The 24,803-nt window shown below is 37.6% G+C and overlaps 1 long non-coding RNA gene across 3 annotated transcripts in view, besides 1 other annotated feature; it reads right to left on the reverse strand.

Annotated features, from left to right (window-relative positions):
- FAM230F (family with sequence similarity 230 member F) overlaps positions 1-20,593 on the reverse strand; it is a 31,723-nt gene extending 11,130 nt beyond the window's left edge. Inside the window, exons 1-6 of one of the 3 annotated variants that reach the window (NR_165500.3) lie at positions 20,458-20,593; positions 10,768-10,826; positions 10,275-10,299; positions 7,242-7,328; positions 2,268-2,333; positions 207-268 (exon numbers count right to left, since the gene is read on the reverse strand). This is a non-coding gene — a long non-coding RNA (family with sequence similarity 230 member F). Of the gene's footprint in view, positions 1-206; positions 269-2,267; positions 2,334-7,241; positions 7,329-10,274; positions 10,300-10,767; positions 10,827-16,691; positions 16,801-18,157; positions 18,261-20,457 lie in introns of those variants that run through there. The other 2 variants (NR_136571.2, NR_165501.3) reach the window with 2 other exon arrangements.
- Positions 19,869-20,370: an enhancer, noted in NCBI's record as "OCT4 hESC enhancer chr22:18883553-18884054 (GRCh37/hg19 assembly coordinates)". NCBI's record gives its function as "activates a minimal SCP1, AML or CMV promoter by ChIP-STARR-seq in primed H9 embryonic stem cells {active_cell/tissue: H9 hESC(primed)}" and the evidence as "EXISTENCE:reporter gene assay evidence [ECO:0000049][PMID:30033119]".
- Positions 20,594-24,803: the final 4,210 nt, after the last annotated feature.

Consider the following 24,803-nt stretch of genomic DNA (forward strand, 5'->3'; position numbering starts at 1 on the left):
ATACAGTCTACAACCTGAAGCCGGCATAGCTAAATGCCATTTTGGATTACATATCAGTTGCTAAGAGTCACTTCTTCCTCCCCCTCAGAAAACTGCATTTAATACCTGTCATGGACATTGTCATTTTTTCACATGTAAAGTCAGTTGAAAAAGAAAGACACCAAGAAAGGAACATTTCTATTTCAGAGAAAGCAAGGCAACCTTACCCTCGCGTTGACTGGCCTCTCTCCATCTCCTCTGTCCTTGTGAACTAGAGACTCCTCAGAGGCTAGGAGGACACAGAGCAACAGTTAGTCATAGATGCTTTTGTTCATGAGTTATTCAGGGAGCTCTGCTTAATGTGGACAACAGGACAGTGTGTGTGGATGTGTTTCATTAAAAGCACAGCTTGAGCTCCTGCTAGAAAATCTTCCCTCGTGGAAAGACAGGCAAGAACGAGGAGCTAAGGAGCAAGAAATAGAGTCCCTGGCATTTTGCTGATGGCAACTTAAGAAAATGGGAATGAGTCAGTCTACAAATGGTACTGAAGCACATGCTATAGTTTGATGAGAGTCCCACTGCTCACACTGTGAGGTTTGAAACCCAGCTAAATGGTTTTCTAAACCTGTAAAAACAATATTAGCTTGCAGGATTTATGTCCCAAGACTACTTTTACCTCTGAGGATCCACAGTGGCTGTCACTGCAGTTATGTGTTTTAGCATTTTGCACTTGAATAAAAGCAAAGTTTAATAGATAGATTGGATTCAATTCTAGGCAAAACAGTCTATGGTATTTATTCACTAATCCTTTGTTATAACTGCTGATGGGGGAATTAGAAGTACTGAAATTATATCCTTTAAAATTAATTAAAGCATAATTATTAATCACACAATATTTTTTCATCCAGGCCTCCTTTTCTTTGTCATGCATGCATATTAATTGAGGATGGAGAATATCTACGCTTGTTCAGGCCAGCCAACATACGACAGTTTACTTCAAGAGAGGAGACACGGGTTGAATGCTGGTGTGTTTTAACTCTGCAGCGCAAACAGTTGCAACAAGTGTGGTGAACTAATCACCAGATGGCCCTTTGCTGCCTTATTTGTCATTGTGCCTTACATGTAGCTTGCAGGATTTGATTACGCTTATGTTTTGTGGTGATCATACTTTCAACTATTCCTAAAATACTGCTTCAGTCTTATCTGTTTGGGGTCAACTGCTGAGGATTTCATACAAATTAACGAAGTTTGTGAATCTAAAGTTCTACACAAAGGTGGAAATATTTGCAAATCATTTCTCTTGTAAGAGACTAAAATTTAGAATATATTTTAAATATATTTAAGATATATTCAAAAATCTACAACAACAAACTAACTAAATAAAAATCAGACAACTCTTTAAAAATGGGCAAAAGACTTCAACATATATTTCCCTAAAGAAGATACAGCCACAGATAGTAGCACAGGAAAAGCTGCTCAGGATCATTAGTCATTAGGGAAATGCAAATGAAAAACACAAGCAGCCACCAATATACACCTACTAGGATGATTTAAAGGAAAATAAGTGTGAAGAAGGACGTAAAGAAATTGTTACCCTGATACTTTGATGGTAGAAATGGATAAAGTTGCAGCCACTGTGAAAAACAGTCTGCAGTGGCTCAGAAGGTTAAATATAGAACCCCTGTTGGACCCAGGAACTCTACTCTTAGGCACCCCAAAGAATAGAGAACAGAAATCAAACAGATGTTTGTATACTAATGTTTGTAGCATCACTTTTCACAGGAGCCAAAAGGTGGAAATAATCCAACCATCAGTGAACAAATGAATGTAATAAAAGCAAGGTGGTCTGCATGCAATGCTACATCATCCATCTGTAAAAAACGAACATCATTTTGATAGATGATACAACATGGGTGGACATTGAGAACATTATGCTTAGTGAAATAAGCCAGACACAAAAGGAATATATTGTATAATTGTAATTACATGAAGTGCCTAGAATAGTCAAATTCATACAAGAGAAAGTCGGATAGGAATCACCATGGGCTGGAAATAGGGGGAAGGTGCTATACTGCTTATTGTGGACAAGGTTTCGTAAGAAATCATCAAAATTGTGGGTGTAGATAGTGGTGTTGGTTATGCAACCCTGTGAATATATTGAATGCCATGGAGTGCACACTTTGGTTAAAAGGTTCAAATGATAAATATTGTGTTATATATATTTCCCCATGATAGAAAACACGCACAGCCAAGCCCAGATGCCAGTCTTGTTAGCTGCCTTCCTTTACCTTCAAGAGTGGGCTGAAGCTTGTCCAATCTTTCAAGGTTGCTGAAGACTGTATGATGGAAGTCATCTGCATTGGGAAAGAAATTAATGGAGAGAGGAGAAAACTTGAGAATCCACACTACTCACCCTGCAGGGCCAAGAACTCTGTCTCCCATGCTTTGCTGTCCTGTCTCAGTATTCCCTGTGACCACCTCCTTTTTCAACTGAAGACTTTGTACCTGAAGGGGTTCCCAGGTTTTTCACCTCGGCCCTTGTCAGGACTGATCCTCTCAACTACTGACCATTTCACCTCCATTCATGTCCATGCCACATCAGGCTGTGTTGTCTAGATGGAATGAATCCACCCCAAATGTCCCTTTCTGGAGGAAGCCACCATTATGCTGTACCTCCAAGCATAATGGTACGTCCACACACACCAGGGCACCTCGCTCATGCAAGGTGCGTGTCCTCTAACAAAGTTTCACGCTCTAAACCCAGATAACTTTTCAAACCCAAGTTCTGTTGATTCCCCTACTTTGAGTGCTCCATAGATGCTCATTTGTCTACTAAACACTGCCCCAGGCAATTAAATATTCCAAAGTGACCAGCAGAATTTTTATGTTAATTCTGACATTGCGTTGTTAGTACAAGTGTTTTTCCCCCTTCAAATTTATGTCTTTGTTACTGATAAATGTAACTGATAATGCGTTTTTCAGCTATGTTGCCAAGCATATTTATATAAAAATATACTCAGATTGTTTTCAGAATTTGACAAAGATGATAGCAACAATGATAATCTTATTTGTTTTATACCAATCTTTATGTGTTATTTTCATCATTTCTTACATATTGGGGCCTACCATATATTGTACAGTGAAATTAGTGCTATGCATCATGGTAGAAATATAAATTGGCAAAAGTAATTTAGAAAATAGTTCCCTTCTTTCTTAAAAAAATTAGGCTGGGTGTGGTGGCTCATGCCTATAATCCCAGCACTTTGGGAGGCAGAGATGGGTGGATCACCTGAGGCTGGGAGTTTGAGACTAGCCTGACCAACACAGCAAAATCCTGTCTCTACTGAAAATACAAAAATTATCCAGGCATGGTGGCGTGTGCCAGTTGTCCCAGCTACTCGGGAGGTTGAGGCACGAGAATTGCTTAAACCTGGGAGGTGGAGGTTCCAGTGAGCCGAGATTGTGCCACTGCACTCCAGCCTGGGTCTCAGAAAAAAAAAAATTTTTTTGACCGAAATGTCATTATGCATTACATGACTGTATATGAATGCTCAAAGCTACATTACTCATCAAAGAAAATAACAAAACAATTAAATGTCCATTAACTGATAAATGAATAAACACTATCTGTATGAGTAAACACAGCAGACTATGAAGGAAAACACATGACCAGCACGTGCTAACACGTCAATTAACTTCAAACATAGTATGCTAAATGAAGGAAGTCAGATTCCAAATATATATATATGTCCATTTCTATTAAGCAAATGGGAAATTTATGGAGATGGAATGTCACAGCAGTATTGCTTAGGGCTGGAGATGGGAGTGGGGATTAACTGCCAGTGCGCAAGAGAGAACTTGGGTGAGGGAAACATATTTAAATTAGATGGTGGTGATGGGTGCACACAGTATCAATTTAATAAAGCATCAAATTGTAGACCTTTTCAGTGGGCAAACTTTATGGTGGGTTCACACCCAATATAGGTGTTAAAAATAAATTAATGTTACGGAAATTCTTGTCGGGTTTTTAACAAGCCAAGAGATATGCTGTGAAAGCAGAATTAATTCAAATGGTTGTCACAGGTCACTTAAAGTTAGATAGTTGTCCTACAAATATAGGGTGAATGTTATTCATGAATTTCCTGAATCTATTGCAATAATCACATTTTTTCCATTAAACTCTTGAGGTAGCTAATTTTATTTATTGCATTTTCAATGTTAATCTACTATTTCATATTTTGAGATTAACTCACATTAGTCAGAATTTACAGTATTTTAAAATATCACAGAATTTAATTTACCTTAACTGGTTTTGGTTTCAAGACTATACTAGCCATTTCATTTAATTGTACATGTAGGGTATTCTAATTTATGGAAAACTATTACATCTTCCTTGATTTTTTTTTTTTTTTAGAAATTACTTCTAGGGATCTATATGGTAGAGTCCATGGAGAATTGTTTTAATTCTTCATTCATGTCTTCAGTGGGTATAGGATTGGTCATATTGGTCATAGTTTTCTGCTTGGATTTCAATAAGAAACTTGTGGAAGAACCTGAAGGGTGGGATCTTTGAGGGAGCCTAAGACAGAGCAAGACAAGCTAAGAAGGAGGGCAGTGCCACAGCAGAACTGCCGTTGATGCCCCCTCGCCTAGATTGCGGAAGAGACATCCAGCTGTAGACACTGAGGTGCAGGAAAACAATGGAGCACCATCAGAGAAAGCAGTGCCCAGGAACAAGGAGGCACTGATGGTGGCAAGGGGCAAAGACAGCTGCCACGAGGCTGTTCACATGAGGGTCTCAGGCTGCATAGACACCCACACCAGCTGAGGGGTCCTGGTTTTCATAAAGTGTGTGGCTCAGCCAGGCCACCAACAAGCAGTTCACAAACAGTAGTAATACGACACTTTCCAAAGACCTTACTTGAGTAACACGGTGATCCTCACAAATTTCCAATCAGGATGGTCGCACAGTTCCTCCTGCGTTAGGACTCAGAGCCTGCCCGTGGTCACAGTGGGTAGGTGCAGACTCTGAAGATGCACTTTGGTCAGAGACCCTGCTGAACTCTGTCTAATGAGGACCTCTGTCCTGTCTGCTGACCACCGGTCAGAGGTGCAGGCTGCAGTGGGGAGTAAGAATGCCACCTTCTCAATGTTGGGAAAACTCCCTGCCAGAACTGAGAATGGCCCTTTCTAAGCAGAAGGCAAGCTCAGACTAAAGAAGGAGGCCGAACACATCAGGTTGGCAGATTGCCAAAGATTCACTCAGGGAGAGCCCACATCCTGGGCCGTCTTGGGTGGTGGCAAGATGAGGTAGACGACTGCTTTTGCAACACATACCTGACAACAAAAAATCAACAACTGTAAAAGAGCCACAAAATCCCCAAATATTTGCAAATTAGCAATGCACTTTTAAGTAACTGTTGGGTTAAAGAAGTCTCAATAGAAAATTAAAAATACTTTTAACTACATTAAAAGAAAATGTGACTTGGCAAGATTTCTGGATGTAGCAAAAGCAGTCCTTAGAGGGAAATCTATAGCATTGGATGCAATATACTAAAAATCACAAGACCTAAAATCAGTAATATCATGTTTCAATTAGGGAACTATAGAAAATAGAGGAATGCAATGGAAAGCAAGTAAAAGTAATAAACAACATCACAGAAATCAATAAAATTAAAACACTGAAATCATCAGAAAATCAATAAAACCAAAAGCTGGTTCTTTGATATGCTCATTACAATGAATGAATTGATATGCAGGCTAACCAAGAAAAAGAAGATAACACAAATGACCAATTTCAGAAATAAAAGAGGAGCCATCTCTACTGAACTGTTAGGCATTAAAAGGAATATCATGAACAGTTCTATGAGCGCAGTTTGATAACCTCAGTGAAATGTATCAATTCCTTGAAAGGCAATCTTCCCAAGGTCATGCTAGGATCCTAATTTGAATAAACTTATGTCTATTAAATAAGTTGAATTCACATTAAGAGCATTCCGAAAAAGAAAGCACCAGGCCCAGATGGTTTCTCTCATGAAATCTACCGAATTCTTCAACAGGTGAATAAAAAGACAAAAATTCATTTAATGCAATATTATTTGGTGATTTAATGTGCCATTTTTTGCCATTAAGGCATAAAAAAGACATGAAAGCAGCTAAAGCGTACATCAATTTAGTGCAATAAATTCATCTGAAAAAACTACATAATATATGATTCCAACTATATGACATTCTGGAAAAGGCAAAGCTGAAGCGATAGTAAAAATATTAATAGTTGCCAAGGTTTCTGGAGAAAGAGGACAGAGATTAATGAGAAGAGAGGATTTTTAGGGAAGTGAACATTTTCTTTATGAGACCATAAGGGTGAACATAATGTTTTAAATATTTCAAAATTCATATATATGTATAACAGAAAGAATGAACATTATGCAAATGTAGACTTCAGATAATAATGTGTCAATATTTTCTCATTATTCTAGCAAATGTACCACAATAATGTAAGATGTTACTAATAGGTGAAATTAGGAAGTGAGGGTGAGGAGACAGAATAATATGGGAACTTCCTGTATTATATACTCAATTTTTATGTATTTATTTATTTATTTATTTATTTATTTATTTATTTTGAGATGGAGTTTCACTCTTGTCACCCAGGCTGGAGTGCAATGGCATGATCTTGGCTCACTGCAACCTCTGCCTCCTGGGTTCAAGCGATTCTCCTGCCTCAGCCTCCTGAGTAGCTGGGATTACAGGCGCCTGCCACCACACCTGGCTAATTTTTTTGGATTTTTAGTAGAGATGGGGTTTCACCATGTTGGCCAGGCTGGTCTCCAACTCCTGACCTCAGATGATCTGCCTGCCTTGGCCTCCTAAAGTGCTGGGATTATAAGTGTGAGCCACCATGCCCGGCCATATGCTCAGTTTTTATGTCAATTTAAAACTCTCTAAAGAAATATATTAATTGAAAAATAATAATATAGCACCACTCTTTCAGGGAGATCTATGCTTATGTTTAACAACCAGGTAAGTTCTAGACATTAGCTTGAAACATTGTCTATCATTAAACATGAACCAAAATTGACTTTTAAGTAGATATTTACTTTTGTGGTGGTAGCAATATTTACTGACCAGGCAAATTAGAATCCTGACACATTAAAAAATATGGCTTAGTCTCTTCATAGTTTCCTCTTACATATGGGACACTGAATACTCCCCGCAACTGCAATTCTTGAATCAACTTAATTAATGAACTTCCACAGTACCTTCTTGTGGGTACCTCTTCTTCTTTACCCGGGAGCCATGAGGTCTCCTACACTGGTTGGTGTGCACAGCATATCTTCTTGTATTCTCTATCAGAGAAGACGCTGGTTAATGCATTTACAATAGATAGGGCTGTTGACATCTTGCTGACAGAAGACCAGAGGGAAAATAGTGATAATCTGTTCTAAGTTTAAACTTATGATCCTTTTCTTTACAGGCTTCCAAGCAGAGCCCACTGAATCAAAGTTGGGTTTCAGGAAGATCACGGAGTTCAGTGAGCACTCAACACCTCTATCAGACAGACTGCGTGGGCAGTGCCTTCCTGGAGAGGGGAACACAGCCGGATGACTGTGAGTGCAGGGCTGGTGCAGAGTGGGGGCCCGGATTCAAATTCCACTAAGCCATGTGGACCTGGCAAGCTCATGTCCTCCCTCTGCCCTCAGTTCTCTGCACTGTCATAATGTAATTTTAGCAATACTTTTTAGGCCCTATTTAGGCCCTACTTCTTAGTATCACAGTACAGGGCTAAAAAATCACTAAATACAGGAAAACCTTAGAGAGGACTGGTACTTCAGTAATGTTCTCTAAGTGTTTACTACATGCCAGGAGGAATAAGCTGGACACTTAGCAGTGGCGGAATATGGAGGGGGAACTTGGATGGCTCCGGGGCAGTGGAGCATGCTTTCCTGTTCGGCTTTTCCGTGGGCATGACGCCTTATGGTTTATGGAGAACATCAGCCCTGCAGGGGGTGCAGAGGAGGGGCTGTGGCTGAGATTTTACACTTGAGGGTGCTGACATTCAGAGATGATAAGTGACGAGCAGAACCTCAACCCCGCTGAGTGAAGGACCTGAGATGGGAAATGTATTTGGTTCCCTAGAGAGAGAGATTCCTGAAAAACTGCCACCTCTTCATCATGCCCTGTGCCAGAGACCCAAGAGACCCCTCACTGTCTTTCTCCAGTCCTCCTAGCCCAAGGTGTGTGGGTGGACAAAGGTGGTGCTCTGGAGGAAATGCCTGAGATAAGGACAGGTCCTTAATGATAAAGAATTCTCCTTCCTCTTTCAGATCCTTGACCTCCCAGTATGACAGCTTAAAGGCTGTCATCTCTGTGGCCTGCCTCCCCTTGCCCTTCACCCTGCCAGCTGCCTCTCAGTGACTGTCTCCTCCAGTGACTACACTGAGGGACCAGGGACTGCTTGCCTCCCGAGGCTGCTCAGACCTTCCGACACCGCACAATGATTGTCAAAAGATGGGTCTGCAAAGAGTAACTTCCCTTCCACTGATTAAACCTGAATATGCAAGCTACTGTGAATTAACTGGAAAAGTGGCCGTGTGGGCTGGTGCTTTGGTGATTTAATGAATTAAGTCTGCAAGCCCCACTGCCTCCTTGACTATTGATCAGAGCTGCCTGCAATAAGGTCTGGCTAAGAATGGGCAGTGGCTGCACCAGCTCTGGGTAAAATTTGACCTAAAATGACCAGTCTCATTCACTAACCTCACCATAGTCTTATGGGTTCAATGGACCTGTCCAATCCTTTGCTCTGTTCTCTCCATCACCTTCCTGTGTAATTTTCCTCCACCATGCACATAATAGAAACATGGCACAGGGGAGCTAATCACCTCTTTTATCCCCCACTTCAGGCTCACACATAAGTTTATAGTAAAAGCCTTTTCAAATGACTGCTTTAACTGCTGCTACAGCATGTGTCATCAGTTGAATGGAATCTGTCACGTGACTTTAAGCAACCCTTTGCTGAGAGACAAGATTCAATACTAGGGACAGTATCCTAGTGTACTACATCATTGATTTTATGTTATGAAGATCATCATTTATTGAAAATGTATAAATAACGAAGCCCAGCCTTACTCTTCAACGCTGTGTGTGTAAATCCACTGAGTGTGCTGACCCCCACGCTTGTACCCACCTGCTAACACAGAAAGGGTCCACTCAGAAGGCAGGCACAGCTCCAGCACTGAGGCTGTCCACACCAGCTTCACAAGAGGGTTGCCACAAGGACGACGGATACCCGGATAACAACCAAATGGTAATTTGAGTACTTAATGGTCATGATCCCTAAAGTGTGTAGCTCAGAGGGCTTGTGGTGATAACTCCATCAAGACTCTAAAGCATCTCCCCAATTCTTACTGGACTTGATCCATGTCTTGAGGAGACCCAGCTATGACACGCAGGCACCACGTTGTCCTACTTAGTGCCTCCCTTAGTGTTTCAGAACCTGTGATTTGATCAGAAACATGGGCTTTCTATGTTGGTTTCACACTAAGGACTATGTGACACCTGCAGGAAGATGTCTACATAGCTACCTGGATTATGAGATCATGAGGCTGTCTTATGTGAGGGATGGCGTTTGGGATCTCTGCAGGCGTGGGTAATTCCAGGCATAGAGGGTGCTGGAACTCCCTTGCATGGTGAATAGTGATCTCTTCACTGGCTGATAAATAGAGGTTGTAGTTCAGGCCTTCAACATTAGCACCGTATGAGTAAACATTTTGACTCTTCACTATGCAGCAAGTGAACCAGGGCACATTTATTTATGTGGCTTAGTTTCTCCATCTGGCATGTGGGCTCAATAAACAAGCTCACAACATATGGGCATGATGATGATGAGGTGTGAACTAATGTAAGTAAAGTATGTGGTCTGATTTGTTAAATTAAGAAAAATGGCACTGACAGTTGTGCTGGGTAAACACAACATTTTTTTCCTGGGGGAAACACACATAGACACACATTCACAAGCAAATCATGCAGACTTGCACACAGACCACCTCACCCCACCCCCGCCCTAATACACACATACCCACACACAACCTAATGTGAACACATTCCCAGAAACTATACATAGATAAAAAGAGTATGTCACCTGGAAAACCAGTTTCTTTTACTATACCCCACATCCTCATTCCCACCAGATGTCTTGGATCATGGAGGCTCTCCAGACAAAAGCCAGCAGTTAAGCTCCAGATTTCCTATAGAATCCTTTTCTAACAACCAGTGAGTGATTCCAGAATACGTACCATTGAATGTGCTCCCTGACGTCACCTGTAATTAGAGAAGGAAAACACTCTGAGAATCAGGCTATGCTATGGATGGCTCACACAGGTCTTTTGTTCACTTGGAAACTCTGGGTAACCAAGATTGGAAATAAGGTTCAAGTCAAAAGCCCCAACTCTAGAGTAGAGTTCCCTTAGGAAAGCACAGGAGCTTTTGTTGAAGAATGTTTCTGTCTAGGTAATTTTTGAGTAGCAATTGCAGAATTCTTATCTAAAGTGGAAAGCTTGTTCCTGAAGAAAACATCTCTTAACACGCAGTGTACTATCTGACACTGCCAATTTTGCACGTCCTCTGGAATCAGGTGTCAGCTGGTAAAATACACCTCCTCCATCCCCAAGGAAATATTATCTAACATCTATAATGTAGTGGATAATTTTCCCATAGCTGATATCAACTGAAAAATAAAGGATCCAAGAAAACAACATTTACATCTTAGGCAAAGACAGGCTACTTTACCTTGGTAGTAGAGTAGGGCTGCCTTTTCACACGCCTTTGGGAAGGCTTCTTCGAGTCACCTAGGGGATGTGGAGGGACACAGCATTGCTGTCAGTTCATTGGCAGTGCTACTCATGAATGACTCAGGGACTGGAACTTAGGGGCGTGCCTGGTTAACAAGCATGGAATGAGCTTCTCCTGGACCATCTTCTTCACGGACCAAGGAAGGCAAAGAAAGAGCAGCAAGGAAATGAGAGTAGAGCCCTTGGCTTTCCAGGTAATGGCAAATGAAAGCAATGTGAAATAATCAAACTCCAAATGAACAAATGCTAAAATACATGCTAGGATTCAACCACAGCATCCTGTCACTTCTTCAGACCCTTTAAAAGCCCAGCAGGACTGCCACTACCTTCTTGACATCTACCAAGTCCCTTTCAACCTCCACAGACCCACATACACTGCTACTGCATTTATCATGGAGGGTATAGGGTTCTGCCTTGTTTATGTGTGAATTTTTTAAAAACTAGATTTAATACTATACACCAGCATTAATTATATTTATTTCTTTTCTTGGTTATGAAAATAATCAGTCAGGCATAGTGGCTCACACCTGTAATCCCAGCAGTTTGGAAGGTGGAGGTGGGCAGATCATTTGAGGTCAGGAGTTCGAGACCAGCCTGACCAACATGGTAAAACCCCATCTCAACTAAAAAAAAAAAATAAAAAACCCAGCTACTCAGGAGGCTGAGGCAGGAGAATCCCTTGAACCTGGAGGCAGAGATTGCAGTGAGCTGAGATTGCACCACTGCACTCCAGCCTGGGTGACAGAGACTTCATCTCAAAAAATAAAAAAATAAAAAATCCGGCCAGGTGTGGTGGCTCACGCCTGTAATCCCAGCACTTTGGGAGGCCGAGGCGGGTGGATCATGAGGTCAGAAGATTGAGACCATCCTGGCTAACAGAGTGAAACCCCGTCTCTACTAAAAACACAAAAACTTTGCCAGGCGTGGTGGCACGTGCCTGTAGTCCCAGCTACTCGGGAGGCTGAAGCAGGAGAATCACTTGAACCCAGGATGGGGAGGTTGGAGTGAGCTGAGATCATGCCACTGCACTCCAGCCTGGGCAACAGCGCAAGACTCTGTCTCAAAAAAAAAAAAAAAACCTCCCCTAAAAATAATCAATTATTAAAGATTAGAAAATACTGAAATGCTTATATTTTAAAATAACCACTCTAACCGTACATTTTCCGTTCAGTCTTCCTTTGCCCTGTGTTTGCAGTCATCGTGTGAGGGGCTGGCCATGTTCAGCCCAGGCAACCCACAGCCAGAGAGGGCAGAGCGGGGAGATGGGCCCTGGTGAGCACTGAGGCTCTTCAAACCAGCTGCCAAGGGAGTTGCAAGCTGGGTGACACATGAGGCTCATTATTTAGTGGTATTTTATGTTCTTACTTGTCCCCAGTTTGTGTAGCTCACAGACTTTTTTTTTTTTTTTAACATTTCTATAGGGGTCATTTGAAGTTCATAACGCCATCAAATATCAGTACAGGGTCTTCCCATTATTTACCGGCTTTGGGATATGTGCTGAGGAGTGGCCGCGCACTGAAGGAATGTGACCGGTTGTCCCAAGTGTTGTCCTCCAACTCAAAATCCGCAACCAGTTCAAAAGCATTTGGGCTTTTATGTGCCTTTCACATAAAGACTATGACACAGCTAAGCTATTCATGTACTAATACCTGCCCTGAGCTGTGTGACCACAGACACCACCCTATAATGTGCCCAGTGTGTAGGAACTCTACAGGCTCAGATCATTCCACACATACATGCAGATGTTGGAACTCCCTTGCACAGTGACTCATGATCCCAAGGCTGAGTGCTGAGGGCAGGTCAGTAGTTCAGAGCCTCAGCATTGGGGCTGTATGCTTGGGTTCCCATCTTGGCTCTTTTGCTGAGGGGCTCATAAGCTTGGGCACATTCATCTCTGTCTTTTTCTGCCCAGCGAAAGGTGATAGTAAATCAATCATGCCATTTGTCTGTGGTGATGGCCGAATGATTTGATGTAGGTAAAGTGTACAGTATAAGTGCTCATGAGGCTTAATTATCAGTGAAATGTCTTGCTTTAGATTTCACAGCTTAATAAGGCTCAGAGGCTTATTCACGCCCAGGATTCTGACCTCCCAAGTCATTGTTCTATGACATACACCTGCTTGGCCTAAAACCGACCACTTTATCATAATGCAGACCCAGTTTTGAAAGAAGCAGATAAAGTTGTCAAAAGTACTGTGTCTGCCTCAGCGCACACTCAGTGCGCTCCACACAAAGGGCATCACCATCTGCCACAATGGCCCAGTGGCCTGGCTGGCACAGACAGTGGCAGAGCAAAGGGCAACAGATCCCTAATCCAATCACCATGGTCGATAGGGCATCATAGACATTCCAGGGTGAAGGCACAATCCACATTGTGAGGTCCAACTGCTGCCATGTAGACAGGTGTGTTTTTACATGTACAGGAAGATCATTGAAGATAAGTGTTTTATATCCATGGTTAACAGATGAGATGACCATGAAATGAACACCAGTGTACTGGGTGGAGCAGCTTATCTATTCAGTCTTCTGCACTAAAACCTGTGAAACAATATCATCTTGCCTTATTTACTAACAAATACAAGTGCCTCTAAACTTAGACAGTTTCCAAGTCATGGAACTGATGAGCACTTAGCTCCTGCAGAGAGCTCTGGATGATGGGTCGGGAGAACAAAGACACAATACATCAAAACAGCATTAACAAGTAAACAGGTTTTCAAAGCTCTCTACATGCAAATTTACACAATTATCCTTTTAATTTTTATCTTCATATATATGTACATAATCTACTTGCTTCTGAGTATAAATAAAACTGTATGTTCTTAGTTAATAGTCTCTACCAATTCATTCTATTTATCTTTCTGAGTTGAAATACTGCATCTCATTGGATAACAAAAAAAAATTTGACTAAGATTACACTGGAAAGGTGAGTAGGTTGGGTAAATGACTGTGATTGACAATTCCATGATTTTGGAGAAGTCCCAAAGCATAAAAATAAATGTGTGTTTTATTTCACACGTAGACAATACACATTTTTATTACTTTAAAAAAATAATATGTGAATGGAAATGACTTACTACAAATTTATTAACGTAAATACACATTTCACAAAAAAAGAAGAGAGGAAGGGAAAAACATGTTAAAAACAAAGAGAGGTACATTTTATTGTGTGAAAAGCCTCCAACCCATCCATACTACTGTGGCTTTGTTCCAAAGTTTTGGAAAGTAATGATTTCATAGGTTCTTAATAAGGTTAAAAACTGCATTAAAATAGACTTTGCCACATTCTCCCTTAGGGAATAACTTAATCTGTAGGGTGGGGGATGGAACGTTGAAGGATGCAGATGTAAAAGGAAATTATATATATATATATATATATATAATATATATACGTATATATTATGAAGATATATGTATATATATTATATATAATTATATATATAATATATATATAATTTGGGAATTTGGGAATAAATTGTATCCCAACTCACACTGGGACTACACCAGCTGCCACCATGCCTGGCTAATTTTTCGTATTTTTAGTAGAGACAGGGTTTCACTGAATTGGCCAGGATGGTCTTGATCTCCTCACCTTGTGATCCTCTTGCCTTGGCCTCCCAAAGTGCTGGGATTACAGGCCTGAGCCAAGATACATATTTTTTAAAGGAAGAAAAATTTCAAAGGTACTCTGTTTGGTACAATAATCAAATATATAAATTGAGGAATAAAACATAACCACGAAACATATTTATAACTGCATATGGAAAATACAGAGGATAATTTTTTAAATAACATATTTTGAAAACCTTAACTAGGAATTTGAAAAGATCGCATTTGACAGGCCAGTATGAACACAACTTGAACGCAGCAAGACAGGTTCCCCATAAAAAAATCAAACACAGGGAAAATGAAACCACAAAGTTTCAATCTGCTCTGACCTTTGAAAAACTCAGCACAGACAGTGGCACTTAGGACCAACAGCAGGAGATCCCTAATCCCATCACCATGGCGATAGGGCATAAACATTCCAGGGTGAAGTCACAATCCACATTGGGAGGTCCAACTGCTGCCAGGCAGACAGGTGTGCCTTTACATGTACAGGAAGGTCATTGAAGGCTCAGTGTTTTGTTTCAAAAACTGAATCCCAAGACCAAACATTGTTATGCTGTGCTTCTTAAAATAAGTTATGAGATGGGAAAGAGGGCACCCCAAATATATATATATAATTATATATAATATAATATATATAATATACATAATTATGTATAATATAATATATATAATATACATAATCTCCTTTTACATCCTGCATCCTTATATTATATATAATATATTATATATAATAATATATAATAATATATAATTATTATATATATAATATATACAATTATATATGATTATATAATTGTATATAATTATATATATAATATAATAATATATAATATCTATTATTATATTATATATAATATAATATTATAATATATATCATATATTATAATATTATATGTAATATAATATAATATCATAATATATAATATATACTATAATATTATATATAATATAATATATTGCATAATATATAATATATACAATATATTATGTATAATATATAATATATAATATTATATATAATATGTCATACTATAATATATATTACAATATAATATATATAATATTACATATATAATATAAAATATTACATAATATATAATAATAATATAATATAATATGTAATATTATATAATATGTAATAATATAATATATAATATATTATGATATATATAATATAATATATTATATCTTATGATATATTATATATAATATAATATATGATAATATATAATATATTATGATACATTATATATAATATAATATATGATATAAGATATTATATATGATATATGATGTAATATATATAATGTATAATATATAATATATATAATATGTAATATATATTATATATTATATATTATATGTAATATATATTATATATTATATATTATATGTAATATGTATTATATATTATATGTAATATATATTATATATTATATGTAATATATATTATATATTATATGTAATATATATTATATATTATATGTAATATATATTATATATGATATATAATATGACATTATATATGATATGACATATAATATATATTATATATTACATGTATACTACATATATTATATATGGTATATAATATATACTATATATAATGTATATAATAGATATAATATATAATATATAATACATTTTATATAATATATAATATATAATATATATAATATATAATATATATTATATATAATATAAAAAATATATGTTATATAAAATATATATAATATATATTATATATATATAATTTTTTTGAGACAGAGACTTTTTCTGTTGCACAGGCTGGAATGCAATGGCGCCATCTTGGTTCACTGCAACCTCTGCCTCACGGGTTCAACTGATTGTCCTGCCTCAGCCTCCCAGGTAGCTGGGACTACACCACACTGGGACTACACCAGCTGCCACCATGCCTGGCTAATTTTTTGTATTTTTAGTAGAGACGGGGTTTCAGTATATTGGCCAGGATGGTCTTCATCTCCTCCCCTTGTGATCCTCTTGCCTTGGCCTCCCATAGTGCTGGGATTACAGGCCTGAGCCAAGATACATATTTGTTAAAGGAAGAAAAATTTCAAAGTTACTCTGCTTGTTACAATAATCAAATCTGTAAATTGAGGAATAAAACATAACCATGAAACATATTTATAACTGCATATGGAAAATACAGAGAATAATTTTTTAATAACATATTTTGAAAACATTAACTAGGAATTTGAAAAGATCGCATTTGACAGGCCAGTATGAACATACCTTGAATGCAGCAAGACAGGTTCCCCATAAGAAAAATCAAAATCAGGGAAAATGAAACCACAAAGGTTCAATCTGCTCTGACCTTTGAAAAACTCAGCACACACAGTGGCACTTAGGACCAACGGCAGGAGATCCCTAATCCCATCACCATGGCGATAGGGCATAAACATTCCAGGGTGAAGGCACAATGCACATTGGGAGGTCCAACTGCTGCCATGCAGACAGGTGTGCTTTTACATGTGCAGGAGGATCATTGAAGTCACAGTGTTTTGTTTCAAAAACTGAATCCCAAGCCCACACATTATTATGCTGTGCTTCTTAAAATAATTTATGAGATGGGAAATATGGCACCCCCAAATATATATATATATAATTATATATAATATAATATATATAATAGATATAATTTCCTTTTACATCCTGCATCCTTATATATATTACATTATATAAAATATAATAATATATAATTATATATAATATAATATAATAATATAAAATATATATTACTATATTATATATAATATATAATATATATTATATATTAAACAATACAATAACATATAATATATGTTATATATAATACTATATATAATGTATAACATATATAATATTACCTATGATATATAATAATATATATTATGTATAATATATCATATTATAATATATATAATATAGTATATATAATATGTATTATATAATATCTAATATTATATAATATATAATATATCATATATAATATATTATGATATATTATATATAATATAATACAATATAATATATTATATATTATGATACATTATATATAATATAATACAATAAAATATATTATATATTATGATACATTATATATAATATAATACAATAAAATATATTATATATTATGATATATAATATGTAATAAAATATAATATAATTATATATAATATAATATATAACATATAATATTTATGATATTATATATATATAATTTTTTTGAGACAGAGACTTTCTGTTGCACAGGCCAGAGTGCAATTGCGCCATCTTGGCTCACTGCAACCTCTGCCTCATTGGTTCAAGCGATTGTCCTGCCTCGGCCTCCCAGGTAGCTGGGACTACACCACACGGGGACTACACCAGGTGCCACCATGCCTGGCTAATTTTTTGTATTTTTAGTAAAGACAGGGTTTCACTGTATTTGCCAGGATGGTCTTCATCTCCTCACCTTGTGATCCTCTTGCCTTGGCCTCCCAAAGTGCTGGGATTACAGGCCTGAGCCAAGATACATATTTGTTAAAGGTAGAAAAATTTCAAATGTACTCTGCTTGGTACAATAATCAAATATATAAATTGAGGAATAAAACATAACCATGAAACATATTTATAACTGCATATGGAAAATATAGAGGATAATTTTTTAAATAACATATTTCAAAAGCATTAACTAGCAATTTGAAAAGATCGCATTTGACAGGCCAGTATGAACATACCTTGAATGCAGCAAGACAGGTTCCCCATAAGAAAAATCAAAATCAGGGAAAATGAAACCACAAAGGTTCAATCTGCTCTGACCTTTCAAAAACTCAGCACAGACAGTGGCATTTAGGACCAACGGCAGGAGATCCCTAATCCCATCACCATGGCGATAGGGCATAAACATTCCAGGGTGAAGGCACAATCCACACTGTGAGGTCCAACTGCTGCCATGAAGACAGGTGTGCTTTTACATGTACAGGAAGGTCATTGAAGGTTCAGGGTTTTATTTCAAAAACTGGATCCCAAGCCCACACATTATTATGCTGTGCTTCTCAAAATAAGTTATGAGATGGGAAATAGGGCACCCCCAAATATATATATATATATTTATAATTATATATAATATAATATATAATATATATAACACATATATAATTTCCTTTTACATCCTGAATCCTTATATTATATATAACATATTATATAGAAGATATATAATATATTATTTTGTACATAATATAATATATATAATTATATCTAAATATATAATTATATATAATTATATCTAAATATATAATTATATATAATTATATCTAAATATATAATTATATATAATTATATCTAAATATATAATTATATATAATTATATCTAAATATATAATTATATATAATTATATCTAAATATATAATTATATATAATTATATCTAAATATATAATTATATATAATTATATCTAATATATAATATATTATGCTATATTATACATAATATAATATAATGATATATAGTATAATATAATATATATCATATATATCATATATTATATATCATTATATTATATTTAATAGATATCATATATTATATATAGTATATATCATATATTATATATAATATGTAACATATAATATATAATATATATCATTCATTATACTATATATTATATATAATATATATCATATATTATATACATAATATATGATATATATTATATATAATACATGGTATATATTATATATAATATATGGTATATATTATATATAATACATGGTATATATTATATGTAATACATGGTATATATTATATGTAATATAGTATATATTATGTAATATATTATATACTATATGATGTATATATTATATATTATAGAATGTATATTATATAATATGTTATAGAATGTATATATTATATAATATATAATGTATATATTATATAATGTATATATTATATAATGTATATATTATATAATGTATAATGTATATATTATATAATATATTATATGTTGTATAATGTATATATTATATAATATATTATATGTTATATAATGTATAATGTATATATTATATAATATATTATATGTTATATAATGTATAATGTATATATTATATAATATATTATATGTTATATAATGTATAATGTATATATTATATAATATATTATATATTACATATCCAATATATAATATATTATATATATCATATATCATACATTATATATTATATATGATATATAACCTATAATATATAATATATATTATATATGTCATATAGTATATATTATATGTCATATTATATATATTATATATTGTTCATATAACATATATTATATATGATGTATATTATATATTATATATAATATATTATGTATATAATATATTATATATTATATATAATGTATATAATATGACGTATAATATATATAATGTATATAATTTGACATATAATATATATAATGTATATAATTTGACATATAATATATATTATGTATATTATGTAATATATCATTATATTATATATATTATATATTATATATACATAATTTTTTTTTAGACAGAGTCCTGTTCTGTTGCACAGGCTGGAATGCAATGGCGCCATCTTGGCTCACTGCAACCTCTGCCTCACGGGTTCAAGCGATTGTCGTGCCTCATCCTCCCTGGTCGCTGGGACTACACCACACTGGGACTACACCAGCTGCCACCATGCCTGGCTAATTTTTCGTATTTTTAGTAGAGACAGGGTTTCACTGTATTGGCCAGGATGGTCTTGATCTCCTCCCCTTTTGATCCTCTTGCCTTGGCCTCCCAAAGTGCTGGGATTACAGGCCTGAGCCAAGATACATATTTTTTAAAGGAAGAAAAATTTCAAAGGTACTCTGCTTGGTACAATAATCAAATATATAAATTGAGGAATAAAACATAACCATGAAACATATTTATAACTGCCTATGGAAAATACAGAGGATAATTTTTTAAATAACATATTTTGAAAGCATTAACTAGTAATTTGAAAAGATCGCATTTGGCAGGCCAGTATGAACATACCTTGAATGCAGCAAGACAGGTTCCCCATAAGAAAATTCAAAATCAGGGAATATGAAACCACAAAGGTTCAATCTGCTCTGACCTTTCAAAAACTCAGCACAGACAGTGGCACTTAGGACCAACGGCAGGAGATCCCTAATCCCATCACCATGGCGATAGGGCATAAACATTCCAGGGTGAAGACACAATCCACATTGGGAGGTCGAACTGCTGCCATGCAGACACGTGTGCTTTTCCATGTACAGGAATGTCATTGAAGGCTCAGTGTTTTGTTTCAAAAACTGAATCCCAAGCTCACACATTATTATGCTGTGATTCTTGAAATAAGTTATGAGATGGGAAATAGGGCACCCCCAAATATAGCCAATAGTGAGAGTTTCAAATTGAAGAGAGGCACAACTGATACGTTGAGAATAAACAGAGATTCCATTCTGCTTTTTCTTTTTTAACTTTTATGTTAGATTCAGGGTGTACATGTGCAGGTTTTTTCCTGGGTATATTGTGTGGTGCTGAGGTTTTGGGTGTGAATGATCCCAACACCCAGGTACTGAACATGGTACTCAGCAGTTTTTCAACCTTTTCCTTCCTCCCTCCCCCTCCTAGCAGTCCTAGTGTCTATTGTCACCATCTTCATGTCCATGGGTACTCAGAATTTAGCTCCTACTTATAGGAACATGAGGCGTTTGTTTTCTTTTACTGCATTAGTTCACTTCGTGGATTCCAGCTCTAGACATTTTCCCTCAAAGAACATAATTTCATTCGTTTTTGTGGCTGCATAGTATTCCATGGTCTATATGTACCACATTTTTATCCAGTCCACTGTTGATGGGCACCTAGGTTGATCCCATGTCTTTGCTAATGTGAATAGTGTTGCAATAAACATATAAGCGCATACGTCTTTTTGGTGGAATGATTTGTTTTCTTTTGGATACATATTCAGTAATGAGACTGCTGGGTTGAATGTTAGTTCTGTTTTATGTTCTTTGAGAAATCTCCAAATTGCTTTCCACAGTGGCTGAACTAACTTACATCCCCACCAAAGGTGTATAAGCATTCCCTTTTCTCCTTATCCTTGCCAGTATCTGCTATTTTTTTTTTTTTACTTTTTAAAAATAGCCATTCTGACTAGTGAGAGATAATATCTCATTGTGGTTTTGATTTGCATTTCTCTCGTGATTAGTGATGATGAGCATTTTTTTCATGTTTGTTGGCTGCATGTGTGTCTCCTTCTGAGAAGTGTCTATGTCTTTTCCCCCTTTTTAAATGGGGTTGTGTTTTGCTTGTTGAATTATGTTCCTTATAGATTCTAAATATTAGACCTTTGTTGGATGCATAGTTTGTGAATAATTTCCCCCATTCTGTAGGTTGTTTACTCTGCTGATGGTTTCCTTTGCTGTGTGGCAGCTCTTTAGTTTAATTAGGTCCCATTTGTCAACTTTTGCTTTTGTTGCAATTTCTTTTGAAGACTTAGTCATGAATTATTTCCCATAGCCCATATCCAGAATGGTACTTTTGAAGTTTTTCTTCTAGGATTATTGTAGTTTGAGGTCTTAAATTTAAATCTTTAATCCAACCTGAGTTAATTTTTGTATATGGTGAAAAGGTGACCAGTTTTTTGTTTTTTGTTTTTGTTTTTTGTTTGTTTGTTTGTTTTTTGAGAGGTAGTCTTCCTCTGTCACCAGGCTGTAGCAGAGTGGCGCCATCTCAGCTCACAGCAACCTCCACCTGCCGGGTTCAAGCGCTTCTCCTGCCTCAGCTTCCTGAGTCGCTGGGATTACAGGCACGTGCCACCACACCCAGCTAATTTTTGTATTTTTAGTAGAGACAGGGTTTCACCATGTTGGCCGGGCTGGACTTGATCTTCTGACCTTGTGATCCTCCCACCTTGGCCTCCCAAAGTGCTGGGATCACAGTCGTGAGCCACTGTGCCTGGCCAATAAGGTGCATTATTAACATCAATAAAGCTCAGGAAACAGCTTTCACCATATTTTTGTTTAATTTACAGTTTTTCCCAGAGTCTTTGGAATAGATTCCTCCCTCCATGAGCCAGAGAACTTACAATGTTCACTACAGTGTCTTTAAATGTAGCAGTAGCAGCTGTGGGTTGAGAACACAAGTCTTCGACTCTTCCTTTTAGAGCCAGCCATTCACGGTGCTCTGTGTTCTTATTCGGCATTGGGTAGGGGCATCTGGGTGCTGGGCATAGCGCCAGTGCCCCATGGAGGAGGGAGGCAGGAAGCCCCTTTCTTCCTTCTCTAAAACCTTTTTTCTTTATGTAGATCCAAGTTTTTAGCCTATATCATTTTCTTCTCTCTGGATAACTTCTTTTAACATTTTGACAGATCTACTGACAGCAAAATTGCATTTCTCTGAGAAAGTCTTTATTTTTCTTCACTTTGGAAAGATAATTTTGCAGGATACAGAATTTTAGGTTGGTGGAATTTTCTTGCTTGCTTGCATGGGTTCTGAAGAAAAGTTTGATGCAATTTTTATTCTTATCCTTACATGTGTTAGGCCCTGCTAAAGCCCAAGGTGGTTAGACTCTTGTGAAATAGTTTCCCTGGGGCAGGCTTTTGCTAAGGGAACGGAACACCCAGGGTGTATTTCAAAGTAGTTACTTTTCCCCTTCCCTGTGGGAAGCAGGAGGGAATTTTTCTCTGATGTGCATAAGAGCGTCTGGCAGAGCTCTTGGAGGTTCATGAAAGTGTAGGGCCCCCTAAGACCGGGCTCCCTTAATTCTTAATTCTCAAGTTTATGTACACGTGGCCTCCAGAAATTTGTTGTTTACATGTAAGTCTTCCCACCGTGGTTCTGGCTCCAGTGGCAGCCTCCGATCCTGTTAGGCTGGGACTCACTGCCTCTCCAATTTGGGGGATAATGGTTTGGCGTGTTAACCTCAAGTCTCTGATGGATCTAAGAAAAGTTGTTAATTTTCAGTTTGTTCAAGGTGTTTTTTGTTGTTGTTGTGAGGACAGGAGTGACAGCTTCCAAGCTGGAAAACAGAAGTCACATTTGGGTTTTGTTTCAAGATATTTTTCCAATGACAGAGAATGATGCCACACACATTTCCATAGATGTCTTTTGATGCAGACGTGCATGTGTTTCTGTTATCCTAAGAGTGAAATACCTGAGTCCTGAATGTGCTCCTTTCTAGAACCTTTATTCAATGCCAAACACAGTATCCCCTCCAGCAGTGATGAGAGTTCTTGTTGCTCCAGATTCTCTCCAACACTTGGTGTTCTGTCTTTTACATTTTAGCCGTTTTGGAGGATATGTTATCCTGTTGTGATGTTAATTTGCATTTACATGAATATTAAGAAAGCTGAACACATTCAAGTATTTGCTTTTATAAATTACATGTTTAAGTGTTTTACCCATTGTTCTTTCTCTTAGTGATTTTTTTTTTTTCCCAAGGCAGAAGAATTTTTCTTAGTACAGAACAAAATGAAAAGTCTCCCATGTCTACTTCTTTCTACACAGACACGGCAACCATCCGATTTCTCAATCTTTTCCCCACCTTTCCCCCCTTTCTATTCCACAAAACCGCCATTGTCATCATGGCCCGTTCTCAATGAGCTGTTGGGTACACCTCCCAGACGGGGTGGTGGCCGGGCAGAGGGGCTCCTCACTTCCCAGTAGGGGCGGCCGGGCAGAGGCGCCCCTCACCTCCCGGACGGGGCGGCTGGCCGGGCTGGGGGCTGACCCCCCCACCTCCCTCCCGGACAGGGCGGCTGGCCGGGCGGGGGGCTGACCCCCACCTCCCTCCCGGACGGGGCGGCTGGCTGGGCAGAGGGGCTCCTCACTTCCCAGTAGGGGCGGCCGGGAAGAGGGGCTCCTCACTTCTCAGACGGGGCAGCTGCCGGGCGGCGGGGCTCGTCACTTCTCAGACGGGGCGGTTGCCAGGCAGAGGGTCTCCTCACTTCTCAGACGGGACAACCGGGCAGAGGCGCTCCTCACATCCCAGACGGGGCGGCGGGGCAGAGGCGCTCCCCACATCTCAGACGATGGGCGGCCGGGCAGAGATGCTCCTCACTTCCTAGATGTGATGGCGGCCGGGAAGAGGCGCTCCTCACTTCCTAGATGGGATGGCGGCCGGGCAGAGACACTCCTCACTTTCCAGACTGGGCAGCCAGGCAGAGGGGCTCCTCACATCCCAGACGATAGGCGGCCAGGAAGAGACGCTCCTCACTTCCCAGACGGGGTGGCGGCCGGGCAGAGGCTGCAATCTCGGCATTTTGGGAGGCCAAAGCAGGCGGCTGGGAGGTGGAGGTTGTAGCGAGCTGAGATCACGCCACTGCACTCCAGCCTGGGCACCATTGAGCACCTCTCTTAGTGATTTTTAAGAG

Source organism: Homo sapiens, chromosome 22 (genome assembly GCF_000001405.40).
Source record: "Homo sapiens chromosome 22, GRCh38.p14 Primary Assembly".
In the NCBI taxonomy this organism is placed as follows: Eukaryota; Metazoa; Chordata; class Mammalia; order Primates; family Hominidae; genus Homo; species Homo sapiens.